This window comes from Homo sapiens, chromosome 6, assembly GCF_000001405.40.
Source record: "Homo sapiens chromosome 6, GRCh38.p14 Primary Assembly".
Taxonomy (NCBI): domain Eukaryota; kingdom Metazoa; phylum Chordata; class Mammalia; order Primates; family Hominidae; genus Homo; species Homo sapiens.
The window spans coordinates 47,018,937-47,046,455 of record NC_000006.12 but is presented as its reverse complement, the minus strand read 5'-3'; the positions used below and the strand labels follow the sequence as shown (position 1 = coordinate 47,046,455).

The following is a 27,519-nucleotide window of genomic DNA, read 5'->3' as shown; positions in this document are numbered from 1 at the left end:
CACTGATTTGTGGGAGCTAAAACTAAAACAATTAAACTGATGGAAGTAGAGAAAAGAATGATGATTTCCAGAGGCTGGGAAGAGTAGTGGGCAGTGGGGGAGTGGGGATGGTTAATGGGTACAAAAATATCATTAGGTAGAATAAATAAGATCTAGTGTTTGATAGCACAATGGGGTGACTATATTCAATAACAATTTACTAAACATTTAAAAATACCTTAAAGTGTATAATTGGAATGTTTGTAACACAAAGAAATGATGCTGCATAACCGCAAAGGTTTGAGGTGATGATTACACATTGTATGCCTGTATCAAAATATCTCATGTACCCCATAAAAACTTATACCTACTATGTGCCCATACAAATTAAAAACAAAAAATTTAAAAAAAAGTTTGCTAAGCCAGGAACTGTGACTTACACCTGTAATTACAACACTTTGGGAGGCTGAAGCAGGAGGATCGCTTTGAGCTCAGGAGTTCAATACCAGCCTGGACAACATGGCAAAACCCCGCCTCTACAAAAAATACAAAAATTAACATTGGTGGCTCACGCCTGTGGTCCAAACTGCTTGGGAGACTGAGGCTGGAGAATCGCTTGAGCCCGGGAAGCAGAGGTTGCAGCGAGATGAGATAATGCCACTGCATTCCAGCCTGGGCGACAGAGTGAGACCCTGTCTCAACAACAACAACAAAATGTTGGCTGATACTAAGTGCTTGGTAGTTCTTCTCTTCCTCTAATTAGCTGTCCAGGTCTCAATTATAACACAATGCTACCCTACCCCTCTGATAAAAGCAATTTCTCATAAGTCACAGTGTCCAATGCTTGTCCTTAGGTAGCTTCATAATTTCAAACCCACCTCTCCTTATCTTAAGCCCTTGTTCCGAGTATGAAGAGCCTGTATCAGCTTTGATAAGACTTTTATCATAGTAGTCAGAAGAATCGTCTCGCTGAAATTTACAGTTTATACTCAACTCTTCTCTTTTTTACTCCTCCTTTCAGTTAAAAAAATTATACTTGCAATATATACATATACATATATATAGTGCTTTCAAACATTTTGCAACTATGGAATAAAACCACCTGAAACAGTCCAGGGTCTTTCACACTCCTGCATCATCACATCACTCAAGTCTGCCGTTTGTGTTTGCAGCCCCTGGGGTAAAACTTCTTTATGACCAAACTCAAAGAATGTCCAGCACTTCTGATGTATGGACATGGGCATCAGGGTCCTTCTGTAATTGGGTTCCTGTCCTTTTCTGGTTCACCTGCTGATCTGTCTAATTTAGATATTGTTTCACACCGAGTACTCACTCAGGGACAGTTTGTTGACATATGAATTTAGATAACTAGTTTCAATAACATGATTCTGTTTGCATTTTCTTTCTCCCAGGACTCAGGCTTATTGCTGTTTATTTGTGGGACCCTGCTCTTTTGCTTGGAAACCAAGCAACCAGACTCTTCACTAAACCAACACCAACAGATGAAGTTAGAAGGCTTGAAGCTCTTCCTCAGCCCCAGGCCTTTCTTCTTCTTCTTTTTTTTCCCCCCAGCATTTGTGGAATGTAAAGTTGACCAGATGAACCAAAATAAATTTGTTTACCTGGCTTCTTATGCTCAAGTGAACACCTTGTTCATGCCTGTGAAACATTACAATCAAACTAGAGGGGCAACAAAGCTCCACAGCTCTGCACTCAGAAGGTTGGCTTTGTCCTGAGCTCTTAAGGTAATAAGATGTCCGAATGCTGCCACAGTGCATAAACCCATGCTGCTTCCTTTTGCACTGTGTCCTTTGCAAGGACCAGAGAGCTCCTCAAACTCACCAGGAAGTACTGAGGAATTTAGTGTTGCGTGCACTAACAGATTCTTAGCAGGAAATTAGAAGCGGTGAGTAAACTGCTTTTTGGTGAGTCATCAGTTTCAAAAACACACCTTATTTATGAAACAATCTGAATATTGGACGTACTATGACTTCCTTCTATTAAACACGGAATTAAAAGACTATTAAATGCATTCATCTGTTTGGATTCAGATTTTCTCCAAAATCAATGTGCTCATGGAATCATTGATGTCTACCGGTTGCCTCACCTACTAGTGTCTGCTAAAGTGTTTTTGGTCTAATGAGACAATGTAGGGTTTCCTTTGGTTCTGAGGGCCATACCTTGGCCCTAGGAAGTTGTTGGGCTGCAGTGACACAATGAGCCAAAGGTGGATAACAGAGCTTCCATCTCAGCTTCAAGCCCTCACCACCTTAAACTCCACACTAGTTGGTCATTTCAACTGTTTCCACCCAATTCCATGGCCACTTTCTTGCTCTAGTGATTAGTAGATTATTAATTCCATTTTATAAACACATTCTTACTAGGATGTCAGTGAATTACTTTAAACACTTGTAATTTAATATAGACAATAGGAAAGGGGTGGCACTGAACTGAGAAGATGGCATCTCTCATCTTAAAACTTTAGACATTGGACCTACTGAGTAAGAGTATGTATGTCTGGAAGTCTTTATCCTTTCGGAATTGAAATTTGGTCTACAGTTATAATTGGTGGACTGTGAAACAGGCAAAACCCTACAGAAAACAAGCAGAAGGAGAATGGAATTAACTCGACTAGATTATGAGATTAGCTTTTTTCCACCCAGGCTGATGGGGGACAAAGGAACAATGGTTGAAGCTTGAGTCTACCTGACAATTGGGGTTTGTCAGGTAAGCCCCATTCTCTTGATAACTTTTTCAGTGGGCTAGACCCAGACCCAATCATGTTAAGTATGATAGGGATCAGTGGCCCAGCTGGTGTGGAAGACAAGTGGGTCATACTGGGTTTAGGCCCACATAGCACTAAAGGTCTTCAACATGCAATTAGAAGCTCAAATGTTGACGGGAATATTGTTCACTCTAAAAAAGATGTTTCTATTAGAATTTACTTACTCTTTCATGAAAACATAGATGCTTCCTCTTTCCTGATTGTGAGAACAGTGTACCTGACTAGCTTCCCCTTTTCTTTAACTGTTAGGAAGTTCTGTCCTAGAGATAAGTTTCAAATTTATGAAACAATAATTTCAGGGATTATTATTTGCATCACTTTTCTTAATTGACTCTTTATAGTTTCCTTTTTTATAGTTTATATAGAGGTTTTATAATGATTTTAAAATTTTTATTCTCACACTATTTTATTTTATGCATTAACATTGTAAGCCAGCTCAAGTCATTTGTAAAACGTGGAGTGCTTAAAAGAAACAAAAGAAAATTAATAAATTAATTGAATTCAGAGACATCCTTTGCTTTCTTTTCAGTGGCATTTTTGAGAATTAACATATTATTATCCCCTTCATTATTCCATAACAGAATTACAAATTGCTAATTTAGACGTGGTTGTTAGTAGCTCATTACCTTGACCAAAAGTAATTTATGAGCCAATGTGGCTAAAGATACAGCACATAATAATCTTGACCTTTCATAGTTTTCAAACTGGATGACTCCTTGGAAAGAAAACAAATCTTTACTAAAGAAGTTAATCAGGTTTCACTCTAGGTTTTCTAAGCACAAAAAACACACCAAAAGCATTCACCCCAGCATCCACCCTGTTGCTGTCTTTTGCCACAGCTCCTTTGGTACTACCCCACCCAGAAGTCTGAGGTTGTTTTATCTGGGAAAGTAGCTAGTTGATTCTTTAGTCTTAAATAAAAAAGTTGGAAAAGGAAAAACAGTATCTACCCTTATTTCTGCCCCACAGGAATTACCCACCTCTCCTCATTGGAATTATGCATGAAGGGCTGCATTCCTTCAGCTTTATAGGGTATGACCCAGTGTGTTCAGAGGTTGGACAGGAAGATTTGATGGAGTAGCATTTTGTAGTAAACCGATCTAGGGCAAAAGTGTTCCACATTCCCCTAGAGCTTTTCTCTCCCATTTCCCTTCTGTGATTTCAGACACCCATTTATGTCTGCTGGGAGAATCATTAAGTCTTGAGCTCTGTGCTCCTTCCTCTTACCAGACCTGATAGTGACTTTAAGCGGGAGGGGGAGTTAGGAGAAAAGTATTTTGTTTCCTTCTTGAAGGGGGTGTGTCCCAGGCTTGTCTACCTGCACAGGCAGTAATGCGTGCCAGGAATTGCTGATGGATCAGTGAGCCTGTGTTCATGCCAGTGAGCTGCTGTGGCTCAGATACTGATACTTTCTTTCCAAACAGCATAAGAAGTGATTGAGCCACAAGTATACTGAAGGAAGGGCTCCCTCGAGTTCTGGTGTGAAGAGATAAATCACCAGGTAAGCCCAATAACTGTACTTTGATTACTAAGAACGTGTATTACGATGACCAGTACTACCTGTTAATCTGAGATTATTTTTTCTCTCCTTGAAAAAAAAATTCTGATTTCAATGTATCATTTCCTGAAGATGGTTAAATAAGGGAACAGAGTTGAAAAAGCAATGAGCAGAAACAACAGATTTCAACCCGCTTACTAACTATAATGAGGTGATTGGCTGAGGCTCAAGCTCCAGATTTTCTGACTGAAAGCACACTCTTCCCTCTGTGATAACACAGGAACCCCATTGTTCTGATGTGCCAGGGAGGTAGATTGCCTAGAATAAAAAGGGCTCCACCAAAGATACTTGTTAAAGTATCAGTCATATGGTTTTCACTAATTCATAATACGTTAACCCTTGCAATCTCTTAAAATAAAATTATGCTTGAGAGAATTAAGCTTATTTTTCCTTTAGGGTGAATTAGTTTAAGCTTTGCCTGGATCCATATATATCCAGGAAGTACTTCTCAATTTAACTCCTTCCCAGGACTCCAAAAAACCCTAGAATTGACTAACCATTTCTCCTGCTACTTCCCCAAATAAATATAAAATGTCACACTGTATTTTCTTAGTAGAGGCCTTGAAAATATATAATTTTTCTTTTCTCTTTTCTTTGTTTTCATGAAAAATCCATTTATGTAAACCTGATAGCCTATGTAATGTACCATGCCAGAGACTACATGAAGGAAAAATACCGAAGGAGATATAGAAAGAAGGTCAAGGTGGGAGAGGTGTGGAGAAGTGATGACCTTGGCTTTTTCATGCTGAGATCCATTAAGCTCAACTTGATAATAGCATTCATGGGCTGGAAATTACAAACAGAGGCAAGAATAACAAAAAATAAATAAAAGTACATTCTTTAATATGTTAGAATATTAACACAAGCCTTTTATTATGCTCTGTTGTCATTAAGAAAACACCACTCATTATCTAACCATAACCCAAATTGACAACAGTGTTCTAATAATGGTCCCATAATACTTTATTCAACCTTTGACAAGTAGTAAAACATTGAGCAAATTATTTAGTTGTCTTATCCTGGTTATTTCATTTGTAAAATGGTGCCAATAAGCGTTAAGATTGGAAATAGGAGTGTATGCCTGTGGAGTCTGACAAGCTCAACTTGCAAACTCACCTTTTGTGCACAACCCCAAGCTGATGTGAATTATTGTTGGATGCCTTGTATGTCTTTCTTCTCCAAAAGTAGAGTAAATTTCTTAAAAAACAGGGACAGTGTCCCAATAACAGGGTCTGTCTGTTGCTGGGCTGAGGGCAAGGAAAGCACCATACTTTCACAACAATGTGCCTTCTAATGTCTTTCATTACACAACTAAAGGAATGCAAACATCTCTTTAAAAAAGTAAATGAACACATTCATTCAAATTTGGATATAAATAAATGATTTTAGTGCTTTGGCTGAGAGTAAGTAAAGTAAAAACTGGCAGGAGCAAGAGGGCACTGGGTATCTGAGGGCATTAGCAGTGGTGGGGTGTGCGTCACAAGGGTGCACAAGTCAGAAAGTGGGGGAGTGGCATCCCCGGGACAAGTGTCACTGAATTCACAATTTTGCTTAAGGACACCCTTAGGAAACTGTGCTGTGTAACCTACCTAATCTAAATGTTTATATTTGTAACTTTCAAAATATTTTGCCTGTTTTTTTTTTTATTTTATTTTATTTTTTGAGACGGAGTCTCACTCTGTCGCCCAGGCTGGAGTGCAGTGGCGTGATCTCGGCTCACTGCAAGCTCCACCTCCCGGGTTCACGCCATTCTCCTGCCTCAGCCTCCCGAGTAGCTGGGACTACAGGCATCCACCACCATGCCTGGCTAATTTTTTGTATTTTTATTAGAGACAGGGTTTCATTGTGTTGGCCAGGATGGTCTCAATTTCCTGATCTCCTGACCTCGTGATCCTCCTGTCTCGGCCTCCCAAAGTGCTGGGATTACAGGCGTGAGCCACCACGCTCAGCCACCTGGTTCTCTTTTTAATGTTCTTTGGCAGGGAACACCCATAGCTTGTAGAGAAGGGGAAACGCTGTTGCCAAATACATATGTCTTGGGATTTTCCTAAATTGTGTTTGTCTTAGCAGAGTAGTGCTCGCAAGATTTCAAGGCCTTCAGATTTCTTGACTGGATAGATACATGGTTTTATTTTATTTTATTTATCTATTTATTTATTTATTTATTTTTGAGACAGAGTTTCTCACTCTGTTGCTCAGGCTGGAGTGCAGCGGCACAATCCCGGCTCACCTCAACCTCCACATCCCAGGTTCTAGCAATTCTCCTGTCTCAGCCTCCTGAGTAGCTGGGATTACAGGCATCTGCCACTACGCCTGGCTAATTTTTGTATTTTTAGTAGAGACAGAGTTTCACTATATTGGCTGGGCTCTTCTCAAACTCCTGACCTCAAGTAATCCACCGGCCTTGGTCTCCCAAAGTGCTGGGATTACAGGCGTGAGCCACCATGCCCAGAGATACATGGTTTTAATAGATGTGAAAACAATTTAGGATCTTGGAGGGATAGTACAAAAGGTCTATAGCATCGTGGTCTGAAACATACACTCTTCCATTCACAGCTGGGTTCAAGCCTTGATAAACTCAACCCATAGTACACAAAACCACTAAGAAAGGGAAGCCTTCTTATCACATCCCCTCCCCAGTAAGCCACAGATAATCTCATAGAGGCTCCTGGTCAGTGGCTGATGGAAACTGGGACCTGGCATGTTGAGAATGAAAATTCATAGGAATTAATAATAGAAGTGGAATATGCCCTAGCATTTCATAGAGTTAAAATAAATTTCCTATGTGTAGTCAGTTGAATAAAGAAAATGCAGAGATGAGCAGCAATGAGGTATGCAGTCCTAAAACTGCAAACTCTAGTTACATTTTATTGATGAGCATTATCAGATCCTCATGGTGTCTTCTTGGTTTTAGTGCAAATGTCAGTTTTTAATCTCCAGAGGTCCACAAATCTAAAGACTTTAAAGTCCTTAAGAAAATTTTCTTATTCTTTTCTTCTTTCTTGGAAGACAAAACTTTAAAACCTGATAAGAGTTTCTTTATTGTTTTGGGATAAGCAGATATTTATTATACATTTGTGAAGTTGGGACAGCCTGTCATAGTACAACAGATTCACACCTGCAAAGTTTTGGGTAAAGAGAATTTGTGTTAAGCAGATTATATTTTCCATGAACACCTTTTACACTTGTGTTTGTACTGCATGCAGCCCGACTCTACTTGGAGACTTTCCTATGCTTCGTCTCTTAGATAATCAAGCTAATTATTTCTGATAAGACACTTAATGATATATTTCTTAGGCATATCATAGTCTTTTACGTTGTTGAACAAGGTATCAATTAAGCAAGTAATTGGTAAAAGATGTAGATAGCAGTAGAATTTTAAAAATATATTTAGGTCAGAATTTTATAGGAAAAGGGCCTCATTAAACAAGCTTACAGCTAGACAGGGGGAATAAATTCTAGTGTTCTATACCACTGTAGAATGATTATACTTAACAATAATATATAGTTTCAAATAGCTAGAAGGAGAGTATTCAATGTTCCCAACACAAAGAAATGATAAACGTTTGAGATGATGGATATGCTAATTACCCTGATCTGATCACTGTATATCACATATATCAAAACATCACTAGGTACTCTATAAATGTGTACAATTATTATTTGTCAATTAAAAATAAAATTTAAAATAAATAGAATTGATAAAGAATTATCAAGGTGGTCTGGATAAAAAACTGTTTCATTGGGAAAAATAGTTGGCAAACTTGGCTATTCACTTGGAGGAAATGAAAGGAAATCTGAAAACCTAAATAAATTCCAGCAGGATTGAATATTTACTTATTTCGTCCCAAAACCTAAATTAACTTAAGAAAGATTGAAGAATTAAGTGTACTAAAAATAATTTTAAGAACTAACTGTTAGACTAAAATGTAGAAGAATGTTTTCCAATCTTTTTATAGAAAACACATTCTTCGGCCGGACACGGTGCCTCACGCCTGTAATCCCAGCACTTCTGGAGGCTGAGGCGGGTGAATCACCTGAGGTCAGGAGTTCGAGACCAACCTGGCCAACATGGTGAAACCACATCTCTACTAAAAATACAAAAATCAGCCGGGCATGGTGGCGTGCACCTGTAGTCCCAGGTACTCGGGAGGCTGAGGCAGGAGAATCACTTGAACCCAGGAGGAAGAGGGTGCAGTAAGCAGAGATTGCACCACTGCACTCCAGCCTGGGTGACAGGGCGTGACTCCGTCTCAAAACACAAACAAACAAACAAAACCACACATTCTTCACACAACCCTAAGTTTAAAATCCATAATGGGGCTGAGTGTCGTGGCTCATACCTGAAATCTCAGCACTTTGAGAGGCTAAGGAAGAAGGATCACTTGAGCCCAGGAGTTCAAGGCCAGTGTGAACAATATGTCAAGACCATGTCTCTGCAAAAAAATAAATTAAAAAATAATTAGCTGGGTGTGGTGGTGTGTGCCTATAGTCCCAGCCACCCAGGAGGCTGAGACGAGAGGATCATTTGAGCCCAGGATGGGGCTACAGTGAGCTATGATCATGGCACGGCACCCCAGCCTGGGCAACAGAATGAGACCCTGTCTCTAAATACAACCAAAAGTAAAAATGAATAAGTAAAATCCATAATGGAAAAGATTAACAGGTGTGATTTCATGAACATTTTAAACTTTTGTGCAGAAGAAAATAAGGCAAAAGTTTTAAAGATGAACTACAAATCATGAGCAAATACCTATAACAGGAGCGACAAAGACAAAAGAGTTCCTAAAACACAATTTTTAAGAAAAAGATGAACATTCTAATCAAAAAATTTAGGAAAATGACTTAAATAGTCAAGCTGGAAAAAAATACAAATGGTCAGTAAACCCCTGAAAAAATGCTTAAACTTACTGATAGTCAAACACAGGAAAATTAAAACAATAAGGCAAAAATTTTGCCTATCCATTTGGGAACATTAAAAAGATACTGTGGATAGAGTGATGAAACAGGCATTTCTGCACCTTACCAGTGAGTATAAATGGGTACAGGTTAGGAGGTCAATTTGGCCATGTCTAGAAAAACTCAACATATATAAACCTTTTGAAGCAGCACTTTCCTTTTAACTTAGAAAAGTTAAAAGTTAAATCCTGGTTTGCCTGGAATTCAGATGCGTGAAAGGAAGCTTAATAGAAGGGAAGTTTGAGCACAAATTGTGGGAGTTCAAAACTGCTATGATCTTGAGTTTGCTTTTCATTCTGTATGGTGTAGAATCTTGATGGTTTCTGAGGATGAACTGATGTGATATTTTCAGGATAGGTGGAATGCCAGTCAACTAGTTCTATTTCTAGAAGAATCATCTGGGGAATATGATTTTAAAACTTATTTTTACTTTTTAAGAAAATTATAATGAAAATACTATTCATATGTAAAGGGAAACATAAAGAATTAGTGGGTTTTGGTAGGTTTGAAACAATGAAGATTTATCAGTGTAACCATTGAATGAGAAGTCGGAGAAGTATGTTTTACTCCTATTTAAAACAGATCACCCAAGAAGAGTTTGTGACATCTTTAATCTGACCATTTATGTATAAAGGTCCCACAGAGCCTGTTCTGCAGGGGTTTTCCAGCAGGCCTGATCATTTGTGTTTCCATCCTTGGACTCCTGACTCTCCTTCGACACTGAGGACAATCATATTTGTCAGGAAGATAGCTTGTTTTTTCTTGTGTAATTTCAACTTTTATTTTAGCATCAGGGGGTACGTGTGCAGTTTTGTTATATGGGTATATTGTGTAATGTTGAGGTTTGGGGTACAAATGATCCCGTCACCAGGTAGTGAGTGAGCATAGTACCCAATAAGTAGCTGTTTTTTGTTTGTTTGTTTTGTTTTGTTTTGTTCTGTTTTTGAGACAGGGTCTCCCTCTCTCTCCCAGGCTGGAGTGCAGTGGCGCGATCTTGGCTCACTGCAACCTCCGCCTCCAGGGCTCAGGTGACTTTCCCACCTCAGCTCCCAAGTAGCTGGGACCACAGGTGCGTACCACCATGCCCAGCTAATTTTTGTATTTTTAGTAGAGATGGGGTTTCACCATGTTGCCCAGGCTGGTCTCGAACTCCTGAGCTCAAGCAATGCACCAGCCTCCGCTTCCCAAATTGCTGGGATTACAGGCTTGAGCCATCGCGCCCAGCCCAATAGGTAGCGCTTCAGCCCTCTCCCCCTCTCCCTCTCTCTCTGCTCTAGGAGTCCCCAGTGTTGATTGTTTCCATCTTTACGTTCATGTGTACCCAGTGCTTAGCTGCCACTGTAAGTGAGAACATGCAAATTAATGCAGGAACAGGAAGATAGGTTTGAAATGTACGTTCTTCCTTTTTCTGAGAAAAGAATTGTTTGTAAGGAACTCAGGTGGAGATCAAATTAACAATCATGATTTTATTAAAATCATGCCCCAAGCAACAAAAACTAACCGGCTCATGATCTAAGGGAAATACTTGATTCTTTGGGCTGAGAAATTTAGGGAAATAGTTAAAAAATTCGTTGTATTTAGAATTTAAATGTTACCTTTTCATTTTCTGCAATTGTGAAATGAAAATAAATTCCACTTAACTTACACAATTGCCAAAATAATCAAATCAAAACTTATTAAAAACACTTTGTAAATTAGAAGGAATTATTTTATTTCTTTTAATTAGGTAGCTATCACCTCTCTGGAGTTCTGTTCAGGTACTTTTTTATTTTTAAAAGCAAACAATTCAAGAAGCTCAAATTATCTGGACTTTACCTACTTTAAATGAAGTCAAGTAGAGGAGATGAGAAATAAGCCCTACCTAGGAATTACAGGAAGACTGGGTCCTGTTACTAAGCTGAAATCTTGGCTAGAAGAAAGAGCTTGGCATCTTTTGCGGAATGCCATTAATCATCTTTTAAGGGCTTCATGGTCACTCCTGCTATACCGAACCACAAGCGGCTGGGTCTTCAGTTACAAGGGTTTGGAATAGAGCCAACCCATGAGGCTTGCAGCTAAGCCTTTTACAGTGGAAACGAGCTGGACTGGTCTTCTGTGGGAAATGAATCCTACTAGAATGCCAGAAGGCATACTGAGCAATGAGCTAAAAACAACAAATCATCCTGAGTGAAGCTCTTCTCAGATGCAAAGCGCAGACTAAATAGAAAAACAGAATCCTCGTTAGGAAGGAGCAGACAGCTGTGCTAGGCTGAAGGCACCAGCAGCAGGAGAAATACTCTTGAGCTGAATGAAGTTCTAATGAGTGGCAAAGGAAACACAAACTTATAAGCACATATCTCAATTCTGGGATGGAAAAGGATCAGATTTGGAGGTAGGGTCACAAACTGGACTCTGAAGGCACAACCAGTCAATGAAACATAGGAGAGTTAAAATAGGGATCCTGGAACAGAGATTCTCGGTAACCAGAAGTTCCCAAAAGTGGGTCTGGATTGTGGCTTTTGGAGTTTCTCTTGAGGTGTGGAGCTACTATGTGTGATAATCCTGCATGAGCATATTGTTAACAGCCAGTGCATGGCACAATGCCTGGGAAATTGGAGGCTGTCAGTATACGGTAGTTGAACAAATGCAAGTTTAGCACAGATTGGTGAAGTGTCCTGGGGGAGGAGTGACTGAGCCAAGTAATTCTTTTTGTTGCTTCCAGACTTACAAGTCCAGAATTCTTAAAAATTATACCTCTGTTCTGAACCCAATAATTAAATTCTTAGTAGGTTCTTAGCTCATCTCAAAAGATGTTAAAGAATTTAATAACCAGTTTGAGGAGAAAACAAGAATAAAGATGAGTAGAAATCGGTAATCTTTCCAGGCTTAGGTTTGGTGACTGCCAGACATTGATAAAAGAACAATTAAATAAGTAATCTACAAATAGAATGTGGGGAATGGGCATGTAATAATGAAACCTGAATGTGAATAGATCTGAGCTCACTTTATTTTTCCTCTTACTGTATAAAGGAGGAAACCGAGCCCACAGAGTTTTAACTTTCACAAATCCTCACGGAAGAGGTACAAACATGAGGTTACAGTGTAATTCATCCAGACCTCTTCCTGCTGTGTTTATAAACATGAATGTGCTAAAACATGTGAAAATATAAAACGTGTTTACAATTTTACTGTGCACACATATATATAGACCTTCCCTGAGATTTTAAATGACTTTAAATTACTGTCCTTCCAGAGGAAGTTTGTCTCGCTCATATAACTTACCAAACCTCCAACCATTTTTCCAAAGATGGAAGTGGCTATCTTTTCTGTCCTCCCACCTATTTTCTCAGCTGTCTTCTCCTCTGTCTCTGTTCAGTTACAGAAACACACAGGAGCTTTTCTCAAAGGCAAGTGGCCCAACACTTCCTAGAAAAGATAGATGCCAATGAAAATGTTATCAAAAACTGATAAAATGAGAGATAAAGCAAAACCAAGGTTTTACAGGTCACCTGCCTAATTCTTTTTGAGTCATGATTTCTTTTAGATCCTATGTGGAGACCTGCTCTTTTCATCAATGTGTGTGTGCGCATGGGCGCATGTGAGGCCAAGACGGACAGGAAAGAGACAGCTCTACTGGGAATTCTGTTTATAGAGAAAGAAACATAATCCCATAAATATTGATGCCAGAGAAACAGCGCAGAGTTCAACTGTGCCTAAGATTAGATTGTTGCCAAGAATGCTGGAAAGTATAGGTGTGAGCAGTTTCAACTAAGCCTGCTGTTGATAAGGAGACAGCTGTTGGCATAAATAAATGATATTTGGAGTCCGTAAGTATATAACTGAAAGAATAGGGAGACAACAGCCAGCCCTCTCCAGAGGCATAATAGCACGTTCTAATGATTGTTCCCTGTAAACTGAAGGACAGGGAATGAATTCACTGAATGAATTCAAGGAAGTGCGGAGGGGGCGTCCCACCATGGCCAAGCCTTCCCACGGAAGCTGGTGCCCACACAGCTGCAGCTCAGGCATCACTGGCCCCAGCAGCCACAGCACAAGGTGTGATGGAAACATGTCATGCTCTAATGACAACAACAGCTCCTCATCTGTGGCAAGGACACAAGGATTCTGAGAATTTCTAAATAATCAGGACCATTCCGGCTTGGAAGGGAAGCGATGAAAATACCATGGGGTTTATGTTTACTAAAGGCGAAGTTCAGAGGGATTTATGATGACCCTGCACACACGCAAAGCAATCCCTGACATCCTTGCTGCTGTGGACCTTCCTTTGAGTCAGATAATTCAATTACTGTAAAAATGTACTTTATTGCTTCAAAGCTGGGATCCCTCCATTTCCAGAGTGATGGCCATCAGTTAACCCAAGTGCACTCAGAGAAGTCAAATTCTGACACAATCCAGCAAGTAACTATAAAAACTGATGGTAAGGTTGAAATACTAGGCACCACTCTGGGTACCTTACTTGCAAAGTACTCATTCAATTCTCCTAAGAACCTGTGAATTAAATACTATTTTCCTTGTATTCTTGATGACTAAACCAAAGTATAGAAAATCTGAGACAATTCCAAAGGGCATCCAGTTGATAAATGTCAAAGCTGGGAACAGGACCCTGGCTAGTACAGCTACAGAGCCCATTTTGACCATGTGCCTTGAGATTTCATTTTTTCCCACCTTTGACTAGTTGTCAAATATAGGATGTCCAGTTAAATTTGAATTTCAGATAAGACACAAATAATTTTAGACAACAAATAATGTTGCAAATATTGCACAAGGCATACTTAACTAAAAAAATATTGTTTATTTGAAATTCAAAATTTTGAGGGTACCTTGTATTTTTACTTCCTAAATCTTCCAACGGTATCCCAGAGGGAGCTATATGCACCAAGGAAGCAAAGAAAAAAAGTTTGATTCGCTTGAGCTTTGGTTTCAAATCCCAGAGTAGAACTCCTATCACACGACCAGGCTAGGTGGAGAAATCTTTATTTTTTTATTTTATTTTTATTTTTTTAAGGAGGAGGGGGCGGAGTGGAGGCCACAGGTGCCACAACCTCTCCCTCAGCCGCTTTCCCCTGGAGAAATCGTTTTTCCTATACTTAAAACAGTCTAGAATAACAGCTCTCAAACCTGCCTGGATGTGAGCATTGCTTGTGTAGCTTTAATAATACACATGGGCTGCCCTGGCATGGTGGCTGATGCCTGTAGTCCCACTTTGGAAGCTGAGGTGGGAGAATTGCTTAAGCCCAGGAGTTTAAGACCAGCTTGGACAATATAGTGAAACCTTGTCTCTACAAAAAAAATTAAAAGAATTAGCCTGTAGTCTCAGCTACTCGGCAGGCTGAGGTGGGAGGATCACTTGTAACCAGGAGGTCAAGGCTGCAGTGAGCCATGACTACACCACTGCACCTCCAGCCTGGGTGACAGAGCAAGAACATGTCTCGATAATAATAATTATAATTATAATATACATAGCTGGGCCTGACCTGTCCAAGATTTAGTAGGTTTAGGGTGAGACGGGGACACCCACATTTTCTAATGAGCTCCTAAATGTTTTCTCCTTTCCTTCTCTTCCCTCCCTTCCTCACTTGTCTGAAATTCTGATGCTAAGTTACAGTTTACCATCTGTAGCAAGTCCAAGGATGCCAGAATATATCTCTAGGGTGGGAGAAGAGGGAATAAAGAGGTGGAGTCTATGAGAGAAGGCTTTCCCACAATGCCCAGAGCTGTCCTCAGGCTTTCTCAAGCTGCCTTTACAGCCTCAGGCCTGGAGTACATGTATGAGGAAGATTTTTCAAGGAGAGAGAGAGAGAGAGAGAGAGAGAGAGAGAGAGACAGAGAGAGAGAGAGAGAGAAGAGAGAGAGAGAGACAGAGAGACAGAGAGAGTCAGACAGAGAGAGAGAGAGAGAGAGAGAAGAGAGAGAGAGACACAGAGTGAGCAGAGAGCAGTATGCAGGCCAGGTCTCCCATTTGGAAACAGACTGGCACAAAGAGGCAGAACGGATCACTCTGCAGGCACCAAAACTGTTATCCCATTTGAAAGCTCCAGCACTATAAACTGTGGTCTAAATAGTTCCTGGGAATTCAAATTAAAAAATCCTTCCCTAGAGGTGAAGAAAAAGTGGCCGGGCATGGTGGCTTATGCCTGTAATCCCAGTATTTTGGGAGTCCGAAGCAGGCGGATCACTTGAGGTCTGGAGTTTGAGACCAGCCTGACCAACATGGTGACATCCCATCTCGACTAAAAATACAAAAATTAGCCAGGCGTTGTGATGCACGCCTGTAATGCCAGCTACTCATGAGGCTGAGGCAGGAGAATCGCTTGAACCCGGAAGGTGAAGGTTGCAGTGAGCCGAGATCATGCCACTGCACTCCAGCCTGGGCAACAGAGAGAAACTCCATCTCAAAAAAAAAGAGTGAAGAAAAAGTGGAAAAGGGGCTGGAAGGGGCACAACCCCCACTCTGCAATGTGACTGTGCTTCATGAGGGTATTGCAAAATCAGTTTAGTAGAATATAGCAATTTACTAATAAAATGAAATAAAAACAAGTAGAAAATATCCAAGGTACACACACACACACACACACACACACACACACACACACACACATATTCATGTTATCACATATCTTTCTTTCTATGGGATCCTGTCAAGAAAGTTTGTAAAACACTGCTCGAGAGAAAAATATTCATCACTTTTAGAAAGCAGAAAGCGCAGGCGGGAAGGAATAGAACTCACAGCAGATAAGCTGTGGGGAAACAAGACCCTGAAGAATAATCTAGAGCCCAGGCTGCTGCCAAAGAATTTTAAAGCAATAGATTTTCAAGGAGTCTTTGGCAAACAGGAAGGTGGGGCATAAGAGGACCATTCATCCGAAAGGAAAAGGTAAATTCAAAAGCTGTACATGTCACGTTGCCTATTTTTCATGCTCCCCTAGAAAGCCCTAGAAAAGGTCTCTGCTGAGACATAGGCCACCTCTATGGTAGTTCTTCCCTGTCTCTAATGCCTTTTCTCGGCTTTTTAGATTAGAGGGCAGTGTGGGGTGGCACTGGAGAAATAGCAGGGTTTGTATGAAGTTTAAGCACACCCAGGAAGCAAGGTAAGGGCTGGATGGAGAGCCCTACTCTGTGTACTCTGGACTGCTAAGCAAGGACACTTATTCCACTGGAGGACTCTTGAGTTTGGGAATCAAACTTTCTCATCTTCTCCTGTGAGATGTAAAAGAAACATTGAGAGGCCAGAAGAAGGTATTCCTTTAAGTTCTATCAATGCTGTGGAGTAAAACTTAGCAATGATGTAACCGTTCTGTGTTGAGCTACCCAATATGGTAGCCCCTGGCCACATGTGGCCCCTGAGCACTGGAAATGTGGTCAATGTGACTGAGCAACTGAATTTTAAATTTAATTTAATTTTAACTGTAATTGAAATTTAGATAGCCACACATGGCTAATGGCTACTGTATTAGACAGAACAATTCTAACATTTTGTGATTTTTTTGATGCAAAATAACCTGGGTATAAGTGATTAATCTTGTGACCAGGTCTATGTACTGAGTTTTATCTAAATTATTTGAGATAACCATAAACTCGAGGACATCTTTTTGCTAATTATATCTACTATGAAAAAGGAAATTTTCTGGATTGATTCATTATTATTTATATGCTTAAACACTCAAATTATATCCTGGTATTAATGGTTTACAGAGTCTTTGGTTATTTTAATGTTTTTCTTTCCTGAAATGAAAAGGAAACCTCAGTGAAATATAAAAGACTGATGTTAAATGCACCTAATTGCAATGTTAAGCAAGTCACGATTAAAAAAAAAAAACCTGTGTTTAGTCAGATACCATCACTTGGAAGAGAGCTCTAGAGCAGTTTTCTAGTAAGTTTGTAATGATGGAAATTTACTACATCTGCAATGGGAGCAGAAGTCATGATGTCACAGGTTCCGTGGAGTGGAAACATAAACACCCAGGGGTTCGGATCAGCTCAGTGAGGCCTTACCACTTTGTGCATTTTTACATTTTGGCTTGAATTTCTTGTTTTTGTGCCTCTACCTTACCTGGTACCCTGCTTGTTTAGTCACAGACTATGCACCCGACTGCTGCTGTTCAGTCCAGGGAAAATGAAAGTTGGAGTGCTGTGGCTCATTTCTTTCTTCACCTTCACTGACGGCCACGGTGGCTTCCTGGGGGTGAGTTGGTGCTATGTCTCATATCTCTTCTCAACTAACTCTCCTCTCTCGTTCCGGCACTTTTAGAACCCCTCACTCTCTAGGGGACTGCAACTGCATAATTTAATGTACTTGAGATCAGAAGTCCTGAGTTCTCGTTTCAACATTACCAACATTCACTGTGTGGCCTTGGATAAGTAAGTCATTTCATCTCTTCGGAGCTTAGATGATCAAACTGCAAAAGGAGGATCTTTGATTAAACTATCTTAGAGATCTTTTCCAGTTCAACACATGCTGTACTATGGCTTCTCGGATGCAGAAAAATCACATGGATGGACATTAGCAATCCTTAGACACTGTCTTTCCTGTCTACACTCGCTTGAGTGATGCTTTCATCTAGGATCATGGTTTTAATATTCTCTACATGCTGATGACTCCCAGCTGTATAGCTCCATCTCAGACCTCTCCCCTGTCCACACTCACATATCCATTACCTACGTGTTATTTCCAGCTGGGAATCCAGCGGACCTCGGAACTTCATTTGTTCAAAATCGAACCCAATCCTTCTTGCCTATCTCAGCAAGTGGTATCACTATCTTTCCAGCTACTTAGGCAAAAAAACCTTAAGAATCATGCTTGACTCTTCTCACATTCCATATCTAAACCACTGGCATTACTTTTAAAGCTTTACCTTTAAAATATATCCAGAATTCAAAAATTTCTCACTACTTCCGTGGCTGCTACCTTGATCCACACCTTCATTGTCTCTTGCCTGCATGATTTCAACAACCCCAGAAATGCACGCATTGCTTCTGTGCTTCTCTGTTCTCAATGGGGCTTCAGGATTGAGCCTGCTACAAAGTAAGTTACAGCATGTTTTTCCCCTGTTCAAAGCTACCCAGCAGTTTCTCATCTCGCTCAAGGAAAAGGTAAAACCCTTTCCATGGCCTATAAAGGTCTGCACAACCTGCCTCCCCAGAGACCCTCTGACCCCACCTCCTGTGCCTCTCCTCTCACTCTCCTCTCTCAGCGGCTCTGGTGTCCTCATTCTGCCTTTACCTGCCAGGCATATTCTTACTCTTCAGGTGTTTGCTTAAAAGTTGCTCCAGTGAGGCCTTCCCTGGCCGCCTCTCCACCATCCCTGGCTTGGATTTTAGATTCATGATTTTAATTCATCTGGGAAACTCAGCAAGGCCTTATGAAGCACAACTCTTCAAAGTCTCACCGTAACTATTTTTTTTCTTTTTAACAGAAAAATGATGGCATCAAAACAAAAAAAGAACTCATTGTGAATAAGAAAAAACATCTAGGTGAGGCTCTGTTAGACAGCATGGTGCAGTGGATTTTGGTGTCAAGGGACCAGGTTTCTAATCCCAGCGGTGCCCCTGACTGGTTGTATGATCCTAGGCACATTATTAAACATCCAAATATGTACAAGGAGAATGACAGTAATTCCTATGAGCAAGACGTTTGTGAAGATTAAATAATATCATGAGAGCACAGTGTCTTACATCAGACCTGGCAAGTAGCTGTTCACACACGCCCTTTTCTTCTGTGCCTTGATTCTAACAATGTAATTAATGGCCATAGCCCCAGTCCAGAAATGAGTTGTGTTCTGAAATTTAGTTTGTGGTTCTGATGTTTCTAGTGCTGAACACATTTCCTCACAGAAACAGTGATGCACATGTGGTTGTTAGGTTCCCGGGTCAGTCTACAATAGCTTTTATACCATGCAATAAATCTGCCATACAGCAATGTGCTAATAGTACCATAGCACCTATCACTGTGCAAGGCTATACTTCTTTGGGAAAATGAAATCAAAATTTCAACTTGGAATGACATGAATACAATTTCCCTGACAGTAAAAATAACAATAAAAATATAGCAACTATTGTTGGGATGTTACTATGTGGCAGGACTATTTGAAGTGCATTAGATGAATTAAACCCTCACACTGACCCTCTGAGTCTGGTACAGTGGTCATCTTTATTTTACAGATAGTGAAACTAAGGCACAGAACTAGGGGCAGGGACCAGGATTCAAATCCAGTCAATCTGGCTCCAGAACCAGTGCCATTAACCCCTGACGATGTGAGCAGGGCCATCCTTTTCCCTGTTCCCCACTGCACACCTGCGTGGACGAGAAGTGGGTCTTGTCTCAGGTCCCACCACTCAGAGGGGACTTCCAATGCCTGGGGAAGAGGCTCCAGTCCGTAAGGAGATGGGGAGACTAAGAGATGGGAGTGGGGTGCAATGGTGTGAGATGTCAGGTCTTTCATAGGTGAGCTTCGGGGGACCTTGAAGCCCCTGGGAATTTCATGTCAAGTTTTATGTGAATGGGCTTAAGTGAATTTTGGATGGGAGAAGACTCATAGGATTCCTCTCCTTTCCCTGTCAAAATCAGTTAATGGCTTCTCTGTGGGGAAAGAAAAGGTGCTGTGCAGAAATGATGAGCTGGAGGTGAGGGTGCATCAAGCCTCAAGGGAAGATTTAGTTTGTTTTGCTTTTGGATTTCATATAAATACCCACACGCAGCTAACGAATGGAATATTTTCACAGGAGAAGAAAGGGCTCTTTGTAAGTGTGAGATTGAGGGGTCTTATACTGGAGATACTTCAAGGAGATCAGAGCTGGGGGCGGGGGAGGGAAGGTTGACTTGGATTTCCTCACCTCTTCCCCCTTCAGTCTTGACACCTGAAGCTTGACTCTGGGTGTGCCCTGAGGAAGTGTATAACATTGGGAGAGTGATTCTGGGGAGGGACAGACAGCACTGGGGCAGCTGGCCTGGCAGAAGTGAGAGGACAGACGTATATTTGGCGTGTGTGGGAACCATTTGCTTGTGTTTACCCTCAGTGTTCATTGTTAGTCCATGTTTGGATGAGAGGAACTCAGGAACAAGCAGCATGGTAGAGTCCCTGACCTAAATTTGATGATTGTTTCTCAGTCACTTCCTCAGCAATATTTTCCCCAAGGACAGAAAAAAAGGTTTCTGACTCTCTTTCTCTCTTTAGGCCCAGTCGAAGAATATCAGCTGCTGCTTCAGGTGACCTATAGAGATTCCAAGGAGAAAAGAGATTTGAGAAATTTTCTGAAGCTCTTGAAGCCTCCATTATTATGGTCACATGGGCTAATTAGAATTATCAGAGCAAAGGCTACCACAGGTAAGGTGGCTCTCGGTGACTGGATGTATAAATGGGGAAGGCGGGTATATCAGTCAGGCTAGGTTGGGTTATGCTGTGGAAACAATCATCCCTACAATCTCTGTGATTTAAAAGAATAAATGCTTTATATCTTCTTCATGCTACATGTCCATTGCAGATTGGCAGAGGGCTGTATTTGTTGCCACCAGTACCCAGTGATGTATCAGACCCTATCTCATATGTACCCATGCTGAGCAAAAAATAGATGAAACACTGGAGGGTTTTCCACGGGCAATTAAATTCTCTAACTCAGAAGTGACCGCAGTAACTCTGCCAACAACTTTTTGGCTAGAACTGGCTCCATGGCCCCACTTAACTTCAGGGGACTAGGATATGCAATCCTGTGTACCTGGAAGACAGCAAGAAATATTTGGCAAACAACATTAATAAGCACAAAGGTGGGATTCAGAGAAGTTAAATTATTGATCTAAAGCAGTGATTCTTAAAGCATGGTCCCCAGGCCAGCAGCAGCAGCATTAGGGAACTTAGCAAAAATGCAAATTCTTCATTTGTCTTGACTTAAGAGGATCAGAAACTCCAGGGTGAGATCTTCCAGGTGATTCTGTGTCGCAATAAAGCTTGAGACCCATTCACTGCACACCATGGGTATTTTCACAAAGGTGTCTGGTGACTTTGCCCTGGTTCTTGATCTACTGAAAGAAAAAAAAAGACGACTTCGGTGGGAATTTCAGGTGTAATAGAAGGGGGCAGGCATATAGGATTGCTACTAGAGAAACTTTTCATCATGACTTTCCCCAAAAATGTTTCTCTGCCTTTGTCATCTTGCTTATAAGGCCTACTTGGGAGTGGTAGCAGGTGGATAGAAAGGAGCCTCCAATGAGATGGTGGTCAAATACGCTCTAGAATCCTTTAAACAACTCTCCTGTTACAAGTGTCCTCTTCTGCTTCTCTCTTCCATTGCAGTGGCTATGTATGGGGTATACATCCTTCTTTTGCATGCTAATCCCAGCCATTGTAGCTTTATGTTTGTTAGCTTTCTGATACCAACCTCAGAATTTATTGAGTTGGACATTTTCTTACCTTGACTATATTGCTGTCCTGGTTTCATCCTTCTAGCTTTTGGTGAGAAATATTAACCATTATTTTACTTTTAATGGCAAAAATTGCTATTACTTTTGCACCAACCAAATCCTTGGTCCAGATTCCATGTGAGAGCTAAGGATCACAAATCACTACTCAGGGTCAGGCGCGGTGGCTCACGCCTGTAATCCCAGCACTTTGGGAGGCCAAGGCGGGCAGATCACTTGAGCTCAGGAGTTCAAGACCAGCCTGGCCAACATGGCAAAATACTGTCTCTACTGAAAATACAAAAACTAGCCAGGGTGATGGTGCGTGCCTGTAATCCCAGCTACTCAGGTGGCTGACGCACAAGATTCACCTGAACCCAGGAGGCAGAGGTTGCAGTGAGCTGAGATCATGCCACTGTATTCTAGCCTAGGCAACAAAACAAAACAAAACTCATAGAAGATGTAGGAAGTTAATCTGAAAAATAAACATATATAAAATAAAATCACTGCTCAGCAGTAGTCAGTTTATAAACCAGAATCCATGAGACTGAGTTCTATTTCTTGTGCAGACTGCAACAGCCTGAATGGAGTCCTGCAGTGTACCTGTGAAGACAGCTACACCTGGTTTCCTCCCTCATGCCTTGATCCCCAGAACTGCTACCTTCACACGGCTGGAGCACTCCCAAGCTGTGAATGTCATCTCAACAACCTCAGCCAGAGTGTCAATTTCTGTGAGAGAACAAGTAAGCAACTAAGAATGCTCTGGGCTGGGGCTTCTCCCACCCCAACATGCAACAGAGAGGGGACGCTTGCTCATTGTCTAGCTAGTCAATGTTTGTTTACAGGGAGATTGAGGGACAGTGATGATACATCATGTTAGGCCTGTCTGGACCCAGTGAGAACTTTCATAGTACAGAAGATCCAGAAACACATGGTGACATGTGAAGGTCACTTCAACCTTTAGGTCCATCCAGCTCAGCTCTGCAATCATATGATTTTATTGAGATTGAGGAAGAGTTGCTAAAATTCCAAAAAGAGGAACTGCTTGAGTAAGCAACATTTGTCTTCCTACTCTCTTTTCACGTCTTTTGCCAACATCAATTTCAAGAAAAGGGGAGTCTAGAGATATGAATGCAGGGAGGAATATATAGTGAATGATTCCATTAAAAGAAATCTCTCAATTGTCAACAAATATGTGTACTGAATGCCTTGTTAAAACAGAACAAAAGCTAAAAGTCTAGCTTAGGAAACCAATGGAAGCTGAGGGAGCTATGGTTAACTTAGATTTATGTTCAATGAAAGGTGAGATGAGCCAAATGACATGGACTCCAGGACATAAAGGACTTTACTAAGCTCCTGCAATGATTACTCCAGTTAACTGGAAGCCCCAGATATTGGTGGAACTGAGCAAAGAGTGAGCCTGAAATAGCCCAGCTTAATTGGGAATACTGGCTCTCCTTCCTGGGACTACAGCAATTCAGGTTATGGCAACACATTACTTATTAAGCACCATCTTTTCACCCAGATCAGGGGCAAATTCTAGGAGGACACACAGAAGAATTTCTCTTGCTGTCTATGAATTAGGAGACTAGTTGTAGAGGCCAGACTGTAATACAAGAAAGAAAATAATGTAATTTCTTCAATGAATGTTGATGAAAGCCTATGTTTTGAAAGATGGGCACAGTGGCTTACACTTGTAATCCTAGCAATTTGGAAGCCTAAGGCGGGCTGATTGCTTGAGCTCAGGAGGAGTTCGAGACCAGCTTGGGCAACATGGCAAAAATGCATCTCTACAAAAAATACAAAAATTAGCTATTTACAGGTGTGGTGGTGTGTGCCTGTAGTACCAGCTACTTGGGGGGCTGAGGGAAGAGGATTGCTTGAACCCAGAAGACTGAGGCTGCAGTGAGCCAAGATCGTGCCACTGCACACTAGCCTAGGTGACAAAAGTGAGACCCTGACTAAAAAAAAAAAAAAAAAAAGAAAAAAGAAAAGAAAGAAAGGAAAGAAAAAGGTGGTCCATGTCTAATCCATCTTTGAAAGATACAAAACTGGATCAGACAGGGATGACACTTATGAGGAGCTTCCCACAGTACCGTGGAGATGTGCATAGATGAGACATACACAAATCAATGTTTAGGAATATGTAAGAGGATGGGAGGCAGATAGGGATAAAGTACTGTAGGAATTTAGAGGAGAGAAAGACTCTGCATCTGAGGATTAGAGAAGACCTTGTGGAAGAGATGATATTTGACTAGGTCCTGAATGAAGGATAAATAGAATTTGTCCACACAGAGAATTGTCCCATTGCAGAGAAGTACTGGCAATGGGTAAGTAAGGAATGTGTTGGAGTTAGCAAGTAGTGTTGCTGTTACGGTCATCGTTTAATTTTTAATAGGGACAATGCTTAAGCTTATTGCCCAGATGAAGATACATTTCAGAGTTCAGTGAATGCCTTCTTTAGTGACACATGAGAGGCCACGCATTTACCTACTTTTAAGGTTGCCTTGATTACCAGCACTTCCCTATTACTGCTCCAAATCTGCAGTCAGAAACTCTGCTTTTATGTATGCATCCTGTGTTATTTTAGGTGAACATTTCTTATGAAAAAAATTTGAAACATCACTGTTGAATAGATGACTCTGAATTGTACTTCTATAATTGTATGCTACTAGTAAATCAAGTTAGAAATTTATTATGTCTATAAACTTATTTTTATTTCCTACAGAGATTTGGGGCACTTTCAAAATTAATGAAAGGTTTACAAATGACCTTTTGAATTCATCTTCTGCTATATACTCCAAATATGCAAATGGAATTGAAATTCAAGTAAGCACTTTCTACTTATTATATAAGGAATCGTTTGCTACACTCAAGTTCAAATGTTTTCAATTCAGCATGTATATTTAATACATATTCTTAATTATTCGTTTTCAGTGAGCAAATAACAAAACAGTTATTTGCTCTGCCCACAGTTGAAATTCCCTGAGTATCTTCTTTCTAGGAAAGTTTAGCAGCTGACTTCTTTGCACTTCTCTTGTGTTCAGTTTTGCTCACTTATTTTAGCAATATACTAAGGCTTCTTGATTATTTTCTCTTTTAATTTTTTTATAAAAAATTTTTATGGACCGGGCATGGTGGCTCACGCCTGTAATCCCAGTACTTTGGGAGGCTGAGGCAGGCAGATCACTTGAGGTCAGGAGTTCGAGACCAGCCTGGCCAGGATGGTGAAACCCAATCTCTACTAAAAAACACAAAAATTAGCAGGGCATAGTGACATACACCTGTAATCCCAGATACTCAGGTGATGAGGCACGAGAATTGCTTGAACCCGGGAGGTGGAGTTTGTAGTTAGCTGAGATTGTGCCACTGCACTCCAGCCTGGGTGACAGAGTGAGACTCCACATCAAAAAACAAAAAAAAATCATGATCTAAGCTCAATTGTCAGCATTTGGGATTTGTTCTATAAAGAAAACTCTGTTGTTAGAGGCTGAAGAGAGTTACTGAGCAAAACTCTCAACTTTATAATAAAGTCACATAAAAACTAGATCAGTGTCCCTCTGCCTAGGATGCTGGCTCAGGTGTAGCTCTAACTGAAGACCCGAGCAAATACTTAATAGATGGATTCGGTCTAAGTACCTGTAAAAATTAATGGCTTGTTTTTCATAAGGAAAAAATGGATTTTGGGTAAATTTATTCTACGATCTGGCATCAAATTCATCTCCTATTCTAAGCAGTTGGTTATTCACAATTTATTAGCAATCTCAAAGGTACATTTTATACGTGTATATGTATGGATATGTGTGTGTGTATGTATACATTCACAACTGTTATTTTAACTGTATTTGTATGACATGCAATTACTTCCCACTGTGTCTCTTTTCTTTGCTCCTTTGCTACTGTTGATTTATTTATTGTCTGTATCAATTTTTGCTCAAATGTCTTTCTGAAGTACGGGAAGAACAATTAACACATTGTTCTTTGTTCTCTTTCTAAGCTTAAAAAAGCATATGAAAGAATTCAAGGTTTTGAGTCGGTTCAGGTCACCCAATTTCGGTAAGTAACACAATGGTCTTAGAAGGGCATCCCCAGAATTGGGCACCAGTTCTGCAAAAGGCAGAGTGCTGTTTTTAGGTGACCCTGACAGAAAACAGGACAGAAGTCATCTTTATAGTAGGATTTTTACTAAGTGAACAAGGATCTGTGATGCTTTAAAAAGTCTGAAGAGTAAAGCCTAGATTCTCACTTAAATGAGTTTAGGACCTTAAATTTTTTTTTTTTTTTGACAGAATGTCACTCTTGTCGCCCAAGTTGGAGTGCAATGGCACAATCTAGGCTCACTGCAACCCTGCAACCTCTGCCTACCGGGTTCAAGAGATTCCCCTGCCTCAGCCTCCCAAGTAGCTGGAATTACAGACACCTGCCACCACATCCAGCTAACTTTTTTTGTATTTTTAGTAGAGACAGGGTTTCACCATGTTGGCCACACTGGTCTCAAACTCCTGACCTCAGGTGATCCGCCTGCCTCGGCCCCCAAAGTGCTGGGATTACAGGCATGAGCCACCACATCTGGCCTAGGACCTTAAATATTGGAAAGCATTCTCAAAACTGTGGGTCAGTGAGTAGAACTACAAAACAATAGCAGTAGGGCAGAAACTTGAAAGAAGGCAGGAGATCATGGTGACAGTGGATGGGAAAAAGTGAGGGTTGGGGATAAGGGTTGCGGGTTGTCGAAGGGTGGATTTTCTCCTTCAGCAACTACAGGAGATATGATGCCTCATAATTCGGAGCCAGAAGTGGGGCTTTGGGTGAGATATCTTTGCACAGATAACATGTATACATCATAGTTCAAAACCCAGTAGTCATTGTTTACAGCAAATAAAGAAATATTTAGTAAATTATCCTTTTGTTTATGCCTTAATTCCAAAAGTTGTTTAGTTAGCCATGTTTACATTAATTACCAACTATTAATAATCTGTCTGCTTGTTAGAGAAAGTGGCTTAGAGGTCAGAGAAATTGACTTGTGATTTTTTTTCACAGTTAACTTAAAAACACCCATAGGACATTTTCTCTTTTCTTTTCTTTTCTTTTTTTTTTTTTTTTGAGATGGAGTCTCGCTCTGTCGCCTAGGCTGGAGTGCAGTGGCACGATCTCGGCTCACTGCAACCTCCACCTCCTTGGTTCACGCTATCCTCCTTCCTCAGCCTCCCGAGTAGCTGGGACTACAGGCATGTGCCACCACGCCTGGCTAATTTTTTTGTATTTTTCGTAGAGATGGGGTTTCACCGTGTTAGCCAGGATGGTCTCGATCTCCTGACCTCGTGATCCGCCTGCCTCGGCTTCCCAAAGTGCTGGGATTACAGGTGTGAGCCTCTGCATCTGGCCAACCCATAGGAAATTTTCAACAGCATTTGCTATAAACATGTTGTTCTGGGCATTATCCTTTAAGTCATACATGAATAGTTTTCTTTAAAATTCAATACCAGCAAAAACACTGCTTTTTTTTATATTGAGGTTTATACAGTTGATCATACTTTCAATATTCATATTTTTCTTTTCTGTGATCCTTGTTTTCTATTTATACTTCTAATTTATATTCTATCATGCATATCTTATAAGCTGTCTCCAATAATCTGCAGACCAAATCACAGTAAAAGTAGGCACAAGTCTATAAACTACAACTTTTTACTTTTGTTCTGTTTCATTTTGTTTCAATATGGGGTCTCACTCTGTTGCCCATGCTGGAGTGGAGTGGTGCGATCTCAGTTCACTGCAGCCTTGACCCCTGGGTTCAAGCAATCCCACCTATGCCTCCCTGGTAGCTAGGATCACAGGCACTTGCCATCATTC

General features: G+C 40.7%; 1 protein-coding gene across 3 annotated transcripts in view, besides 1 other annotated feature; it reads left to right on the top strand.

Annotated features, from left to right (window-relative positions):
- Window positions 1,012–2,211: an enhancer, noted in NCBI's record as "BRD4-independent group 4 enhancer chr6:47011981-47013180 (GRCh37/hg19 assembly coordinates)". NCBI's record gives its function as "activates an origin of replication core promoter dependent on BRD2, P300/CBP, MED14 and CDK7 cofactors, and independent of BRD4, by STARR-seq in HCT116 cells {active_cell/tissue: HCT116}" and the evidence as "EXISTENCE:reporter gene assay evidence [ECO:0000049][PMID:35650434]".
- The window catches only part of ADGRF1 (adhesion G protein-coupled receptor F1), a 44,625-nt gene continuing 21,229 nt past the window's right edge, over window positions 4,124–27,519 (top strand). The window contains exons 1-8 of one of the 3 annotated variants that reach the window (NM_025048.4): window positions 4,124–4,265; window positions 17,352–17,463; window positions 18,695–18,752; window positions 20,453–20,602; window positions 22,239–22,412; window positions 24,398–24,498; window positions 25,667–25,725; window positions 25,959–26,570. In NM_025048.4, the coding sequence (NP_079324.2) occupies window positions 17,395–17,463; window positions 18,695–18,752; window positions 20,453–20,602; window positions 22,239–22,412; window positions 24,398–24,498; window positions 25,667–25,725; window positions 25,959–26,004 (657 nt within the window). In that variant the 5' untranslated portion in view covers window positions 4,124–4,265; window positions 17,352–17,394 and the 3' untranslated portion in view covers window positions 26,005–26,570. Of the gene's footprint in view, window positions 4,266–17,351; window positions 17,464–18,694; window positions 18,753–20,452; window positions 20,603–22,238; window positions 22,413–24,397; window positions 24,499–25,666; window positions 25,726–25,958; window positions 26,571–27,519 lie in introns of those variants that run through there. The other 2 variants (NM_153840.4, XM_047418639.1) reach the window with 2 other exon arrangements.